General features: G+C 37.2%; 1 protein-coding gene across 3 annotated transcripts in view; it reads left to right on the top strand.

Annotated features, from left to right (window-relative positions):
- NXPE2 (neurexophilin and PC-esterase domain family member 2) overlaps positions 1-18,323 on the top strand; it is a 349,427-nt gene that overhangs the window by 262,299 nt on the left and 68,805 nt on the right. The window contains exon 6 of one of the 3 annotated variants that reach the window (XR_001747769.2): positions 13,099-13,182. The exons of the other annotated variants lie outside the window; for them this stretch is intronic. The gene's annotated coding sequence lies outside the window, so the exon portion shown is untranslated. The remainder of the gene's footprint in view (positions 1-13,098; positions 13,183-18,323) is intronic. 3 annotated transcript variants of the gene reach the window in all.

The raw sequence follows: 18,323 nt of genomic DNA on the forward strand, positions 1-18,323 counted from the left end.
TAGTTTTTGTACAATGGACAGGCTGAGAATTTCAAAATCTTTAATTTTGGTTCCTTTTTGCTTGCTTAAATTTCATATTCAATTAATTTATTTCCCCTTGTATTTTTCTATAAGGTGTCAGGAGGAACAAGGCCACTCTTTCAACACTTTGCTTAGAAAACTGTTTAGCTAAATATCTGGTTTCATTGCTCAGAGGTTCTACCTCTCATAAAACACTAGAACTCAAACACGGTTTATCCAAGTTCTTTGCCACTTTATAACAAGGATTGCCTTTTCTCTAGTTTCCAATAACATGTTCCTCATTTCCATGTGAGACATAATCAGAATGACCTTTACCATCCATATTTCTACCAATATTCTGGTCATCGTATTGTCTAAGAAGACAGAAGCTTTCTCTTTCTTTCTGAGATCTCACCAGAATTGCCTTCAAATGGCCATTCATGATAATCTAGGCTTTTTCTAGCATATACCTAAAAACTCTTTCAGCTTCCACTCAGTACTCAGTTCCAAAGCCACTTCCACATTTTTGGGTGTTTGTTACAGCAACACCTTCACTTCTTGGTACCAATTTTTGTCTTAATTTGGACTGCTGTAACAAAACACTATATACTGGGGGGCTTATAAACAACAGAAATTTATCTGTCTCTGCTTCAGTGGCTAGAAGTCTGAGATCAGGGTGTCAGCATGGTCAGGTTTTGGTGAAGCCCTCTTCTGCATTACAGGTGGCTGACCTCTCATATCTTCAGGAGTAAGAAAAAGCAGAACTCTCTGGGGTTCATTTATATAAAAAGAGCATTAATTCCATTCATGAGGGCTCTGTCCTCATGACCTGATCATGTCTGAAAAGCCTCACTTCCTAATATCACCACATTGCGGATTAGGACTTCAAGAAATGAAGATGAGGGCAACACAAATATTCAGTCTACAACAATAACCTTTGAAGTTACTTTTATTTTATATTTTTAATGAAAACAATATAGGAACAGATTAATGGCATGTTAATCTGACACAACTTATAATACACAACTTATATTAAAAATTGGCAATCCCCTACATCCTTCCTCTCCTTACTCAAGTTTTGCTTTTAGATATACTTATTAGCTGTTTTGATATTTCTATTTCAGAAATTATTTACTGGCTTACTATTTAGGAAGATAAATAATTATTTCTCTTACCCTGTCCCCCACCCATGTGTACACAACACACACACACACACACACACACACACACACACACACACACATATCTTTCCCCTTCTCTTCCATTTGGAAGATCACAATTTTGGTCAATTATAGGGTTTTACATTAACAAATTACCACAAATTAATGGCTCAGTTAACACAAATTTATTATTTTATAGTTTTAGGTCGAAAGTAAAAATTAGTCCATAAGGATAAAGTCAAGGTGTTAGCAAGGCTGATTCCTTCTGGAGACTGTACGGGAGAATCTGTTTTCTTTGCCTTCTAAAAGTCTTCTGTATTCCTTGGCTGTGGCCCCGTCCTCCATGTTCAAAATCAGCAATGTAACGTCCTCAAATCTCTCTTTGATTATTTGGCTTCTGTTTTAATTGCACATCTCTCACTATAAGCCTTCTACCCCTCTCTCTTAGAAGAGCCCTTGAAATTACGTTAGCCTCAATTGGAGAATCAAGAATAGTTTCTCATTTCAAGGTTCTTAGTTATATCTGCAAATCCCCTTTGCTACAAAGGGTAGCATATTTACAGATCTGGGGATTAGGGCATAGACATCTTTGGAGGAAGAGGAGCATCATTCTGCCTTCCACACTAGGATCATATAAATGTTCCTCACAGATGAATCACATGGTATACTATGATTATTTTTCATTCCTAATACCATTTTTGTTGGTGTTAATAATTAACTTTTGTTGTTTGCTTAATTTTTTATGTACTTGCACAAATTCTTCTAACCATGAAACTCTTCTTAATATGACAAAACACATCAGTTAAACTGTTAGTCCATTTTCTTTCTGGAGATTTCCTTCCTAAAACCCTATGTCTTCCTGCTTCTATGTGGAGCAATTGTTCTTTAAACCAGAGGCCAATGGATATTCTGTAAAGGACAAGATATTACATACTTTAGGCTTTATGGGACATACAGTCTCTGTCTCAACTACTCAACTCTGCCTTTGTATATAAAAACAGACATGGACAATATGTAAATAAATAGGCTGGTTATATTCCAATAAAACTTTACTTACAAAAGCCAGCAAATTGAGAAAGACAGTTGGAAAGAGACACATATAGATCAATGAGATACAATAAAGAACCCAGAAACAGGTTTACACAAATATGCCCAACTAATTTATTTTTTAATTTTTATAATTTTTAAATATTTTCCATTTTTATTTTAGATTCAGGGGGTATATGTACAGATTTGTTACATGGGTATACTGAGTGATGCTCAGGTTTGGGATATGATTTATCCCATCACCCAGATTGAGCATGGTACCCAATAGTTTTTCAACCCTTACCCCCTCCCTTCCTCCCTATTCTAGTAGTCCCCACTATTGTTGCCATTTTTATGTCCATGAGTACCCAAGGTTTAGCTCCCACTTATAAGTGAGAACATGTGGTATTTGGTTTTCTGTTCCTGCGTTCAGTTGCTTAGCGTAATGGCCTCCAGCTGCATTCATGTTGCTGCAAAAGACATGATTTCATTCTTTTTTATGGTTGCATAGTATTCCATAGTGTATATGTACCACATTTTCTTTGTCCAATCTCTCATTGATAGGTTGATTCCATGTCTTTGCTATTGTGAATAGTACTGTGATGAACTTACAAGTGCATGTGTCTCTTTGGTAGAATAATTCATTTTCTTTCAGATATATACCCAGTAATGGCATTGCTGGGTCAAATGGTAGTTCTGTTTTAAGTTCTTTGAGAAATCTACAAACTGCTTTCCACAGTGGCTAAACTAATTTACAATCCCACCAACAGTGTATAAACATTCCCTTTTCTCTACAGCCTTGCCAGCATCGGTTGCTTTTTGACTTTTTAATAATAGTCACTCTGGTGTGAGATAACATCTCACTGTGGTTTTGATTTGTATTTCCTTGATTATTAGTGATGTTGGGCATTTTTTCACATTCGTTGGCCATGTGTATGTCTTCTTTACAGAAGTGCATGTTCATGTTTTTTGCCGACTTTTAATGAGGTTTTATATGTATTTGCTTGTTAAATTGTTTACGTTTCCTACAGATTCTCGATATTGGGCCTTTGTTAGATTATAGTGCAAAATATTTTCTACCATTCTGTAGGTTATCTGTATACTCTGTTGACAGTTTCTTTTGCTGTGCAGAAGCTATTTAGTTTAATTAGGTCCCACTTGTTGATTTTTATTTTTGTTGTAATTGCTTTTGAGACTTAGTCAAAAATTCTTTCCCAAGGCCAATATCCAGAATGGTGCTTCTTAGGTTTTCTTCTAGGATTCTTACAGTTTGAGGTCTTACATTTAAATCCTTAACCCATGTTGATTTAATTCTTGTGTATGGTGAAAGGTATGGGTCCAGCTTCATTCTTCTGCATATGGCTAGCCAGTTATCCCAGCACCATTTATTAAATAGGGAGTCTTTTTCCTGTTCCTTTTTTTGTTGAATTTGTCAAAGATCAGATGACTGTAGGAGTATGCCTTTATTTCTGGGTTCTCTATTTTATTCTATTGGCCTATGTGTTCATTTTTGTACCAGTACCATGTTGTTTTGGTTACTGTAGCTTATATGATAGTTGGAAGTCGGGTAATGTGATGCTCCGGTTGTGTTCTTTTTCTTTAGGATCGCTTTGGCTACTTGGGCTCTTTCTTGGTTACATACAAAATTTAGAATAGTATTTTTCTAATTCTGTGAAAAATGATGTTGGTACTTTAATAGGAATAGCATTGAATCTGTAGACTGCTTTGGGCAGTATGGCCATTTTAACAATATTGATTCTTCCAATCCATGAGCATGGACTGTTTTTCTATTTGTGTCATCTATGATTTCTTTCATTAGTGTTTTGTAGTTCTTCTTGTAGAGGTCTTTCACTTCCTTTGTTAGATGTATTCCTAGGTATTTCATTTTTTTGTGGCTACTATAAATAGAATTGCATTCTTGATTTGGCTCTCAGCTTGAATGTTATTGGTGTATAGAAATGTTACTGATTTTTCTACATTGATTTTGTATCCTGAAACTTTACTGAAGTTGTTTATTAGTTCCAAGAGCCTTCTGGCAGAGTCTCTAGGGATTTCTAGGTATAGAATTATGTCATCAGCAAAGAGAGGTTGACTTCCTATTTTCCTATTTGGATAACTTTTATTTATTTCTCTTGCCTGGTTGCTCTGGCTAGGACTTCCAGTATCATGTTGATAGGAGTGGTGAGAGTGGGCATACTTGTCTTGTTCCAGTTCTTAGGAAGAATGCTTCCCTCAGCTTTTGCCTGTTTAGTATGTTGTTGGCTGTGGGTTTGTCATAGATGGCTGTTATTATTTTGAGGTATGTTTCTTCAATTCCTAGTTTGATGAGTGCTTTTATCATGAAGGCATGTTGGATTTTATCAAAAGCTTTTTCTGCATCTATTGAGATGAACATAAGGTTTTTGTTTTAAATTCTGTCCAACATACCTATCGGAATATTTAAAATTAAAAAAATAGAAATAATACAAATGCTGGTGAGGATGTAAAGAAACTGGGTTACTTATACATTGCTAATGGAAATATAAAAATGTATGTTCTGGAAAACAGTTTGGCAGTTTCTTAGAAGACAAAACATGCAGTTAACCATATGAACCAGAGACTGTATGCTTGGGCAATTATCTCAGAAAAATGAAAACTTATGTTTATACAAACACCTGTACATGAAAGTTTTCATGCAGCTTTATTGATAATAACCCAAACTGGAAATAATGTAGATGTTCTTAAGTGGATGAAGGGTTAAACAGTTCATGGTACATCCATACTATGGAACAGTACTCAGCAATAAAAAGGAACAAGCTGCTGATACACAGGACTTGAATAAATCGCAAGAGGATGATGTTGATTTTTAAAAAGCCTCTCTTAAAAGTTTACATACTGTATTGTTTAATTGATGTAACATTCATGAGATGACAAAATTATTAAAATGGAAAACAGATAAGTGATTGTGGTGGTGGATACATAAATCAGTGCATATAATACAATTTTATAGAACTAAATACACATGTACACACATATACACATAAGTAAGTACAAATAAAACTAAGATTGGTGGATTATGTCAATGTTAACATTCTAGTTGTAAAAGTGTAGTATACTTTCGTATTATGTTACCATTGGGGGAAACTGGGTAAAGAACACACAGGATCTTTGTATATTTATCCACAACTGCATGTGAATCTTGGTGTAATCTGCTAACCTACTCTAAACCAACTGTGTAACTCTCGTCTTGGGATTTCTGTGTTCTTCTGAAATGCCTGTTAATTGGATAATGAGTCTCCTAGATTGATCCTCCAATGTTCTTACATTTTAATTTTTCATAACTCATTTTCTTTTTAGAATAAACTTTAGGTGCAATTTACATACAATAAAATTTATTAAATTAATGTATATTATTAAATGCATTTTGACAAATGTATATAATTCTAATATAGGACAATTCCCATAATCCCTAAAATGTTCCCTTATCTCCATTGTAGTCAGTTCCCTCCCTTGCAACAAATAATCTGCTCTCTGACATTATAGTTTTTGTCTTTCCAATAATTTTGTTAAAATGTAATTGTATTTCTGAAGGACCTCCTATTACCTTCAGAGCTCCCTGTGAGATCTGCTGAGGCCACTTTTGCAACTGCATTTCTGTTCAACTTCTCCCTCTGCTTAGTCCTGCTTCCTTTGCTTTCTCACAAGTGTCCCTGAGAGCAATCTCCAGAAAACCTCCTACTTGCACATCTCAGATTCTGAATTTGCTGCCTTGGAAACCCAACCTGTGACACTGGTTTTTGACAATTTTACTTTTAGGTACCTAGGCATGGTATCTTTATTTATCTTGATCAGTGTTCACTATGCCTATTCAATCTGAAAAGACTTGTCATTGTTCAGTCCTTGGACTTTAAACAATTTTTTTTTAAATTATCTATTTCCTTTAAATTTTTCTTAAAAATTCTCTCTGTTTTCTCCTATTGAATGGATTTCAAAATACCTGCATTAATATTCCCTTTCTGTTAATTCTCCTTTCATACTCTCTAATTGTACCTTTGCACTGCATTCTGAGAGAAGTCCTCAGCTAGGTCTTCAGATTAATTTAGTGATTCAAATTGATGGGCTATCTGGCCCATCAATTGGGTCTTTATAGTAGTTGCATAACCTACTTTCTTAGTTCTTCATTTTTAACCTGTTCTTATTTAATTCACATGATATTCCATTATAACACTCTGAGGCTATTACTTTGATTTATTTTAATTAATTGTTCAGTTTGCTCTTTTAACTAGTTTTTTAGTATTCTGTTTGTTGAATTCAGTGTCTTTTTTTGTAATGAATTTCCAAAATATTGGGTTTTTTGTTTGTTTGTTTGTTTGTTTTGACGGAGTCTCGCTCTGTCACCCAGGCTGGAATGCAGTGGCGCAATCTCGGCTTACTGCAAGCTCCGCCTCCCGGATTCACGCCATTCTGTCTCAGCCTCCTGAGTAGCTGGGACTACAGGCGCCCACCAACACGCCCGGCTAATTTTTTGTATTTTTAGTACAGACGGGGTTTCACCGTGTTAGCCAGGATGGTCTCGATCTCCTGACCTCGTGATCTGCCCGCCTTGGCCTCCCAAAGTGCTGGGATTACAGGCGTGAGCCACCGTGCCCGGCCTAATATTGGGTGTTTCTTGCTTGTGCATTCATTTTTATGTAAGACCCTCCCTATTCTGTTTTTAGTGGATGTGGTTTTCTTTGGGGAAGCAATCCTGCTTCAGGTGATTTGGGGTACTGAAACCATAAATATACTTCAAGGAGGTATACCTATTTTGGAGGGTATGGGTTTCCTCCTTCTTCTTGGGTGCCGTAAGTTATCTAATACATTGCCCTTCCTTTCTTGCCCCAATACTTGTGTTCATAATTTTAGCCTGAAGTTTGATGTTCTGCTGGCTGCTTCTTGATACAAATGAAAATGGGGTGTGATCATCTTATGGGGTCAACCCATGTGGGCAATTAAAATATATTTCTTTAACCACTCACCTAGATGTTTTGCCAGGGGTCTTTCTAACCCCCTACATCCTTACCTTTAACTTGAATTACCTCCAGAGCCATGGCACCTTTCCTAAGAGTCCTCTCACATGCTTTAGACAATAGTTTCTTCTGTTAACCCAGTCCCATGTGTATATTTTCTTTCATGGACTCCTTCATGATCACTGGTGTACCTTTTTGTGTTACAGGTCTTTTATGAATTTATTCCTTCAAACAATGTCTTTTCTAAGGAGTTGAATCAGTAAATGGCAGCAGGAATTTGTATTCAGTTCATTCTTCAACTCTTAAAAAAGTGTTTGGAATAGTTTAAATAGCACCAGAATTATTATTTTAAGTTTCAATAGAACTTATCTTTTAAAAAATCCTCTGGGCTTCAATTAGGTGTAAATTTTGACTACTGATAGCATTTCTTCCATAAATATGGTCTTTCTAGGTTTTCTATATCTTGGTAACTTTGATCAGTTGTATTTTGCTAAAAAAAATCCATTCCTTTTATTTAGATACTTTAATCTGATATAAATTTGGCATAGTAAATTCTTATAATTTAAAAGCTCTGCTATTTGCTATATGTCTTAGAAAATATATTTTACAAATACATTTTTTGTGTGTAATGAGCAACTTTTAGGGTAAAGATTATTATTCTTATTTTCTCTACAGTGTGTGAGCACAGTGCTTTTTATAATATTGGTTTACTTTTCTTTGTAATCCATTTGAAAGTATTCATTGTACTGCTGTTGGTCATGGTTCAGAGAACCAAGACTTTTTGCCAACACCAGGTGTATGGCTAATAATTTACTTTATTATACACCATTTATCTTGAAAGCTATGGCTATCAACAGAAAGTAATGAAAATTAGCATGACTTCTAATTTACTTAGTTTCATAATTATATATCTCCTGGATATGTTATTTGTACTGTTGTGAATTAGCAGGTTTGGTAATCTTGGTAGACTCTCCAGCTTCTCTTAGCTACATGCTCAAGGAAAAGTAAGTACATGTTCCTAGGTGACTCCATGGCCATTTCTGTGAATATACTAGGGAGATATTAATAACCATTGCACGGCAGGGCGCAGTGGCTCACGCCTGTAATCCCAGCACTTTGGGAGGCCGAGGCGGGCGGATCACAAGGTCAGGAGATCAAAACCATCCTGACTAACATGGTGAAACCCTGTCTCCACTAAAAAATACAAAAAAATTAGCCGGGCATGGTGGTGGGTGCCTGTAGTCCAGGCTACTCGGGAGGCCGAAGCAGGAGAATGGCGTGAACCTGGGAGGCGGAGCTTGCAGTGAGCTGAGATTGCACCACTGCACTCTAGCCTGGGCAACAGAGCAAGACTCTGTCTCAAATAATAATAATAATAATAATAACCATTACACATCTCTTATTCCTGTGGTGTTTGCAATTTTTCTTAGCATTTCTAAAAGCAGGGAATAGCTTTCTTTTCTCAGCATATTCAAAATAATCTACAAAAGAGCTTCAAATCAATCTATAAATCTGAGTACAATGCTTTCTCTCTTTTTTCTCTGTTGTTGGGACCTTTCAAAATCCACTTTTTATTAGTGGTTTCCTTCTGCCACTGTATTTTTACAGAATAATTTCTTATATCTTATCTAAGAATTTTTCTCCCTCTCAAATAAACCAGGTTTAGATCTCAAATCTAGAAATCACTAGCTATGAGAATGTGGGCAAATCACTTAACCTCTCTGAGTATAGTTGTCTCATTTGCAAAATGGGGGGGTTAAAATTATTTCCATGTCATAAGATTGTTATGAAGATAAAACAAGATAAGGTATGTATGTTGTTTAGCTTAGTACATAGGAATCAATAAATATTAGGTGGTATCGTCAGATATTATAATCATTGTCATCATTCATATGTGCTAACTGCTTTTCCTCAACATCATGTAAAAAACTTCTAGCTTAACCTTGCAGGAAATATTTGGGGTGGTCATATATAGTAGGAAAGTAGCCATAGCACCCTATCCAACAGGTCTTTGTTACAAATATCTGTCTCTATCTACTAGATCTGTAGCCTAGTGTTCCTACATGGGCACCATCTGTGCCTTATCAGGAGAAATTCAGCCAGATATCAGGCAAAATTCACCCCCGATATTTCACATAGGTTCTTTTCTATTTTCCCTAAGCGTCCGCCGGTTTGAGAAATAAAGGGACAGAGTACAAAAGAGAGAAATTTTAAAGCTGGGTGTCCGGGGGAGACATCACATGTCAGTAGGTTCCATGATGCCCCCTGAGCCATAAAACCAGCAAGGGGAGGGAGTGTATGAATAGGGTGTGGGTCAGAGAGATCACATACTTCACAAGGTAATAGAATATCACAAGGCAAATGGAGGCAGGGCGAGATCACAGGACCACAGGACCAGGGCGAAATTAAAATTGCTAATGAAGTTTTTGACACCATTGTAATTGATAACATCTTATCAGGAGACAGGGTTTGAGAGCAACTGGTCTGACCAAAATTTATTAGGTGGGAATTTCCTTGTCCTAACAAGCCTGGGAGCACTATGGGAGACTGGGGCTTATTTCATCCCTACAGGCTCGATCATAGAAGATGGCCACACCCAAGGAAGCCATTTCAGAGGCCCACCCTCAGGGGTTCATTCTCTTTCTCAGGGATGTTCCTTGCTGAGAAAAAGAATTGAGCGATATTTCTCCCATTTGCTTTTGAAAGAAGAGAAATATGGCTCTGTTCCACCTGGCTCACTGGCAGTCAGAGTTTAAGGTTATCTCTCTTGTTCCCTGAACATTGCTGTTATCCTGTTCTTTTTTCAAGGTGCCCAGATTTCATATTGTTCAAACACGCATGCTCTACAATTTGTGCAGTTAATGTAATCATCACAGGGTCCTGAGGTGACATACATCCTCCTCAGCTTACAAGATGACAGGATTAAGAGACTAAAGTAAAGACAGGCATAGGAAATCACAAGGGTATTGATTGGGGAAGTGATAAGTGTCCATGAAATCTTCACAATTTATGTTTAGAGATTGCAGTAAAGACAGGCATAAGAAATTATAAAAGTATTAATTTGGGGAACTAATAAATGTCCATGAAATCTTCACAATCCACATTCTTGTGCCATGGCTTCAGCCGGTCCCTCCATTTGGGGTCCCTGACTTCCCGCAACAGTGCCTGTTTGTGGTGTTCCTGGAAAGCATACTTCTAAAGCCTGCTTATTCTCTCCTCTCTCTCTGGAAGTGATAACCTGCCAACCTCTGAGTGCTAGCAATTTGCAAGGTATTGATTTACCTGACTCTTGCACTCCCTCCTAGAACACACACACACACGTTGTAAAACTTGTTTCTTCCTTTATACAATTGGATTTCTCTTATTTTCTATGTTCTGACAATAGTCCAATTTCGATCTTTGCTCTAGAATTTTAGTGCTGTGTTTTCCTTTTAAACCAGTTCTTTCAGCACTGATATCAGCTAATGCCCCTAACTCATCTCTACTGATATCAGTAATACCCCAATCCCATTTCTACTGACATCTGCTAATACCCAAACCCATCTTCACCAATATGAGCTAATGCCTCAAATCCCTTTCCACAGAGATTGGGGTAGAGATGGGTTTGGGGCATTAGCGGATGTCAGTGCTGAAAGAATGGGTTTAAAAAAGAAACAGCAATACATTTTTGCAGCAAAGATTAAAATTATAACAATAAAGTATAAAAATGAATTTAAAATATTTATTTATAAATATAATAAGCAACACTTCTTGAGTACTTACAGTGTGCCAGTCACTCAGCAAGAACGTTCCTTAGGCTATAACATGTCTTCCTGCCAAACAATTCTAGAGGTAGTTTGTGCTATTATCCTCATTTTGTGGATGAGAAAACAGAGACTTGGTTTGAATCACTGACTCATGGTCACAGACATCCATTGAGCAGTGAACTGGGACACAAGTCTAGGGTTTGAGGGGTTCTCCTCTTGAATCTAAACCAACTGAGAGAAACAAAATAGTCAGAAGGTTGAGGATCAAAAGACTGGCTCTTTTGCTGACATAAGTTAGATTGGAGAGGCTGGGCGCAGTGGCTCACACCTGTAATCCCAGCACTTTGGGAGGCCAAGGCGGGCAGATCACCTGAGCTTAGGAGTTTGATACCACCCTGGGCAACATGGTGAAACCCTGTCTCTACTAAAAAATAAAAAAAAAATTTGCCGGGCGTGGTGGTGCTGGCCTGTATTCCCGGCTACTCAGGAGGCTGAGGCATGAGAATCGCTTGAGCCCGGGGGGCGGAGGCTGCGGTGAGCCGAGATCGTGCCACTGCACTTCAGCTTGGGCCACAGAGTGAGACTCTGTCTCAAAAACAAACCAATGAGACTGGAGAACATGGCTCCCCACTTCTCAGTGCCCCTGAATTTAGACCATGGGAAAGCTTGGCTCTGCTGGGCAGACATGCCTAACTAGCTCACTTTATATTGCTCCAAGTTGTAGATGGGGGAAATAGAGAGTAAATCTTTGTGTATTTTTCTTATTACAAATGAAAACTGAATTGTAGGACATGGTTTAAGTATGTTATCCAAGTGATTTCCTATACTAAATCTCAGAACTACATAGACTCAGCCACCAGAGTCCTACCACTATGAGCCTTTATGGGTAGATTGGCAAGTTTCTGGAGTTGTCATCAAATTGCTCTCCACTCTCTTTGGCTCCCTTAATGCCATAATTCTTGTCCATTCTTTCCTTGGGACCTAAAGCAATTGGGATATGCCTGGGCCAAGGCTTGGTGTTTTTCCTCTTTAGGCCAATTATGTGAAACTCAGGCCTGGAGCTTTCCTTTCTGTGATCCCAGACTGTTTGCTCCAGCCATGTTCGAGGAGTAAAGGGAAAGTAAAAGTCTCTAACTCCTGAGAATGAGTCTAAGTGAGACTTCAACCTTCAACTATAATGAATGTACCCATTCCTCCATGTCAGTGATGGTTACGTTAACATCACTGTGCATACCACCTGATGTTGTCATAAAAAGATCAGAGTCTTAGGCCAGCCTCCCAGCACCTCATGCCCCCCACCTTATGCTTATATTAGAAGAAGCCTTCAGGATGTTTTTTTTTCATATTTGGGATAGTCCCTACACATGCCCATTATGGAGTGGAATATTTTATGATTGTTATTTTTTGCTGTCTTCATTCAAGTTGTGCTTTACTATTTTATTAAAAATTCCTGAATTTCTAAACATTAAGACATTACAACTTACTACTGACACAAGAATGACAATGCAGTAACAAGAAAATGAAAGTAGAAGACAAATGACTTAGAAACAATAACAACTCTATAATTCCAAGATAATTTAAGCAGGCAAGTTTAAAGTGTTTCATAAAGGTGCAAAGCAAGCTCTCAGCCTGCAGTGATGCACCACACCAGCAGATGGCACTGAATAGCTTCTCAGGTGCCACAGGAAGACCATTTACCAATGGTGGTTGCAACCTCTTAATTAGCTTGTGCTGAGCAGTTCATATTATAATTTATTAATTATTTTTACTACTTATTGCCATTATTTTCCTTCCTTCCTTCCTTCCTTCCTTCCTTCCTTCCTTCCTTCCTTCCTTCCTTCCTTCCCCCCTTCCTCTCTCCCTCCCTCCCTCCCTCCCTCACTCACTCCTTCCCTTCCTCCCTCCCTCCCTCGCTCCTTCCCTTCTTCCCTCGTTCTTTTCTTCCTACCTTCCTCCCTCCCTCCCTCCTTCTTCAGTAAAACTGACTAATAAAATTTGTATATATTTAAGGTATACAATGTGATGTTTTAATATATGTACACATTGTGAAATGATTATCCCAATCAAGCTAATTTTGTGTGTATGTGTGTGTGGTGAGAATACTTAAGATTTACTCTGTTAGCAAATTTAGTATTTAATAACATTATTATTAACTGTAATCACCATCCTGTACATTAGGTCTCCAGAAGTGACTCATTGCATAACTGGAAGTTTGTACCCTTTGACCAGCATCTCCCTATTTCCTCTGCTCCTTGATCACTGGTAGGTAACCACTCTTCTACTCTCTATTTCTGTTATATTCTGTTATTTAAGATTTCATATATGAGTGAGATCATTCAGTATTTGTCTCTTTGTGGCTGGATTATTTCACTTAGCCTGATGTTCTTCAGATTCATTCACGTTGTCAAAAATGGCAGGATTTCTTCTTTTGTTAAGGCTGAATAATATTCCATTATATATACAGTAGTCCTCTTTTATCCATGGGGATGTGTTCCAAGATCCCCAGTGGATGTCAGAAACCACAGATAGTACCAAACACTATATATATACTATGTTTTTTTCCTGTACATAATTGCCTATGATAAAGTTTAATATATAAATTAGACCGTGTAAGAAATCGAGAGCAATAACTAAGAATAAAATAGAACAATTATAACAATAGACTGTAATTAAAGTTAGGTATATGTGGTCTTTCTCTCTCTCTATATAAATATCTTATTGTACTTTACTCATCTATTTTTAGACCATGGATGACTAGGGGTAACTGAAACCCCGGAAAGTAAAGCTGTGAATAAGAGGGAGTAAGTGGAGCCTATAGTGTGTGTATCACATTTTCTTTATATAGCTTTCCATTGGCAGACACGTAGGTTGTTTCTGTATCTTGGTTATTATGAATAATAATATGATGAACAGGCAAGTGCATGTTCTTCGACATGCAAGTGCAAGTTCTTCGACATACTGTTTTCATTTCCTTTGTATATATACCCAGAAGTGGGATTGTTGGGTCATATTGTGTCTCTAGTTTTAATTTTTTGAGCACTCTCTATGCTTTTTTTAAAAAAAATGACTATACCAATTTACATTCCCACTAACAATGTATAAGGGTTTCCATTTTTCCATGTGTGATTAAAAAGAATATGCATTCTGCTGCTGTTGAATCAAATGTTTTGCATATCCTGTTAGGTCCATTTGGTCTAAAGAGTAGTTGAAGTGTGCTATTTCCTTATCAATTTTCTGTCTTGATGAGCTATCCATTGTCAAAAGTAAGGTATTGAAGTCCACTTCTATAATTATATTGCTGTCTATTTCTCCCTTCAGAGCTGATAATATTTGCTTGATGTATTTAGCCTTTCTGTTACTGGGTGCATATGTATGTAGAATTATAATATCCTTTTGATGGATGACTCCTTAATCATCAAATAATGACATTGTCTCTTGTGATAGTTTTTAACTTAAAGTCTATTTTGTCTCATATAAATATATCTGTTCCTTGTTTATTCCTTCATTTCTTGAAGAAGAAATGAACTTCTTCAGCTTTCCTTTGTCTGGGAAAGTCTTTATCTCTTCCTCATTTCTGTAGGACAGATTTTCTGAGTACAGTATTATGGGTTGGCAGGTTTCTATTTTTTCTTTCAACACTTTAAATATGTCATCCTACTGTCTCCTGGCTTGCATGGTTCCTGCTGATGTATCTGCTGATATGGTTATGGGGAATTCCCATGTATTTGATGAGCTTCTCTTCTCTTGCTTTCAAAATACTCTGTCTTTGATTTTTGACAGTTTGATTACAATGTGTCCTTGTGAAGTCTTCTTTGGGTTGAAACTATTTGAAGACTTCAAGCTTCATATACCTGTATGTCCATATCCTCTCCAGATTTGTGGAGTTTTCAGCCATTACTACTTTAAATTAGCTTTCTTCTCCTTTTTCTCTTCTTTTGCTGAGAGCACTGTAATGCTAATGTGAGCTCTCTTGGTGGTGTCCTATAAATCCCATAGACTTTCTTCACTCCTTTTTGTTTTTTCCTCCTGTAACTGGACCATTTCAAATGATTTGTCTTCAAATTCACAGATTCTTTCTTTTGCTTGACCAAGTCTACCATTGACTCCCTCTATTGCATTTTTCTATTTCATTCATTATATTCTTCAGCTCCAGAATTTCTATTTGGTTCTTTCTATGATTTCTAAGTCTATCAAACTTCTTGTTTTGCTCATGTGTTGTGTTTCTAAATTTGTTGAGTTGTCTGTGTTCTCTTGTAGTTCACTGAGATGTCTTAAAACAATATTTTTCATCTTTGTTAGGCAATTGATCATAATTTCTTTGGGGTCACTTACTAGAATATTTTGGGGTTCCATTGATGATGTCCTGTTTTCTTGAATTTTTGTGTACCCTGAAGTCCAGTGTTGCTGTCTTCACTTTTGCAGAAGCAGTCACCTCCTACAGTCTTTACTGACTGGCTTTGGAAAAGAAAGACCTTTGCCAATCAGCCCAACTAGGGATTTTGAGACTTTCTCAGATTTTTTCTGTGGACATGCCCACTTCATACCTCTTGTTCCCTCTTGGTGGGAATTCTAAGATTGTATGCCTTCTCTCAATCCTGCAAAGCCAGGCTGGGTGATGAAAGCCTCTCATTTGTTTTCTCTAGGATGGCACTCTGAAACGTTGAAGTTTGTATACCTTCTGTCAGTTCCACAGCACTTGTTGTCCATGAGGTTGTGCAGGAAGTCAGCATTTGGGGAGGGACTCAGTGCATTTGGAGTGCTCCTGGGCTAGTTGTTGTTGTTCTGCGGATAAAGCCTGGGCCCAAGCAGCTCACAGATAGGCTTCCTGATGGAGTCCATGGAATGGTTAGCAAGGTCTGTGGCCTTTCTTCGTTGCTCCCATCTTCTCCCAACCACTCAGCTACACAGATCACATCAGTATGTTGGGTGAAATGAGAAAGAAGTGGGCCTCTTGGGAGGCATCCCACATGGCTGGGAAAGCTGAGTGCTCACTCATGCCCCTCTCACTTTCCAACTTGGGAGACCTAACGGGGTCTCTTTTTGGCACTGAACTATGCTTCCTTGGAGAGGGGTGACACAGGTAAAGTGAAATTGTTCTTACTTTCTTCAATGTGTTTATTCTTGGATTTTTTTTTTTTTTTTGCCCTAACACTGTACTAGAACTTCTTTACTGGACTCTCATACTTCCATGATGGTATTTTTGTTTGTGGGTATTGGTCAAAGTGGATGTTTCTGTAGGGGGATGATGGTAGAAAGCTCTTATTCTGCCATCTTGCTAATGTCACTCTGCAGTGAATTCTTGAATGTAACCATCCCAGTTGGTCCCAAGCATAGCTCTGGGGTAGTGAGTGTTATCTCTGATGTTTATATGGGTTTGACCAATTCCAACAGGCTTCTTTTGTTGAGTCAAGTAAGTCAGCTCACTTTGAACCCAATGTGGCTGATTTTATTTGGGGCTGTTAAGACTGAGTTTTGGCACCTTTTGCTGCTTTTATTTGGGGCTGTTAAGACTGAGTTTTGGCACCTTTTGAGGCATGCAAATGGATTAACTGTTTTGTCTTAGGAGTAGCCCTGGTTTTGCAATAAATATTCAAGCAACTTAAACAAAAATATTTTAGGCAACAGGCTTCATTTTCTACTATTTAACCAAACTGTTTTTTTTAAATCTTGGCAACTTATATTAATAGAATGAAAAGATTCAACATTGAGTTCAGGGAATTATCAGGCAAGGATTGATGTTTTTGCACCAGAGACATTAACTTAGCAAAGTAATTGTGCACCAAGGCCTAGATTCAGCTTTGTAAGTTCTCAGTAAATTATGCATGTTATGTTGCATGTAATCTTAGCTCTGTGTCTCAGTTTATTTAAATATAAAATGGAAATTATGATAGTACTTATTAATATTGCTTTTTATATAATATGACACATAAGCATGAGCAAAGCAGTATCAAGCAAACTGGTGAGGTAAGGAAATGGTCAGAATAGAATAGGTTTTTAAAATAAATTTACTTGAGGAAAATGCTTAAAATCTATTTTATGTACAGCTTTAGAATTTACAAAACTTGCATGTACTTTTTGAGTTTAATAATGTAGATGCTATTGCCTACTTTTTATAGATGGGAAAACTCAGGCTTATATGGATTGTGTGTCTTGGTTAAGGTGGAACAGTCAATAAATAGCGGAAGTGGGAAGAGATTCCAGTCCTTTGCCGCCTTATCTATTTTCCACTCCTTTCTATTCTGTTTTATGGTTAAAAGTTTTAAATAAACTTTCTTTAGTGAGCATATATATATTATGTATATGTGTGTGTGTGTATGTGTGTGTATATATATAGATATATGTGTATATATACATATGTGTGTATATATAAGTATATATATGTGTACATGTGTATATATACACACATATATGTATATTTACACATATATGTATATATAAGTGTATATTTATATATGCATATATATGTATATTTTTTACCAAAGCTAGGAAAAGGTGTGTTTCTCTATTCTTTCTTTGTGTCTATGGATTCTGCTCTCTCATTGCTCTTGGGGTCCTTTGTTAACCCAGCTCAATCCCATATACACGAGCTGATTTACTCAAGAGAGTAGGATGTCTTTCCTTATTAAATTGTTCCTGGTGTGAATGTGGTCTTTGGTATTCACTTTCTTCTCAATTCCAGGTATCAGAGACTTTTTCTTCAAAGTGTCTTTTGTGCAAATTAGAGATACACCAAAATGTGGCTTCACCCTGAGAATTTGGCCAAAACGTCTGTTACTCAGATGTGAATATTTCAATCTTAGCCTTTGAAGGTCAGAGTGGCGTAGATACATCCTTAAACATAACCTCTGACACCTTTGAACTTGTAGTCAATAACAACATCATCCTATGGTTTACTATAATATCTTACCAGTTTAACAACATAAGGAATACAAACATGACATTTATTGTTGATACTTTTAAAAAATAAGTGAGCATTCTGGATGTTACTTAGAGTACAAAATCTCTTTATGTATTTTATATATGAAAATTCTTGGCTGGGCGTGGTGGCTTATGCCTTTCATTCCAGCACTTTGGGAGGCTGCGGCGGGTTGAGTTACTTGAGTTCAGGAGTTTGAGACCAGCCTGGGAAGCATGGTGAAATCCAGGCTCTACAAAAAATACAAAAATTAGCCAGGCATAGTGGCATGCACCTGTAATCCTTGCTACTCAGGTGCCTAAGGTGGGAAGATCTCTTGAGCCCAGGAGGTTGAGGCTGCAGTGTTTGCACCACTGCACTCCAGCTTGGGTGACAAAGTGAGATCCTGTCTCAGAAAAAAAGAAAGAAAAACAAATCTCACAATATTATAAGTACGAAGGCATGTTTATCATTACAATTATAAAACAGAACAATTACTATGAAAGCT

Source organism: Homo sapiens, chromosome 11 (genome assembly GCF_000001405.40).
Source record: "Homo sapiens chromosome 11, GRCh38.p14 Primary Assembly".
Taxonomy (NCBI): Eukaryota; Metazoa; Chordata; class Mammalia; order Primates; family Hominidae; genus Homo; species Homo sapiens.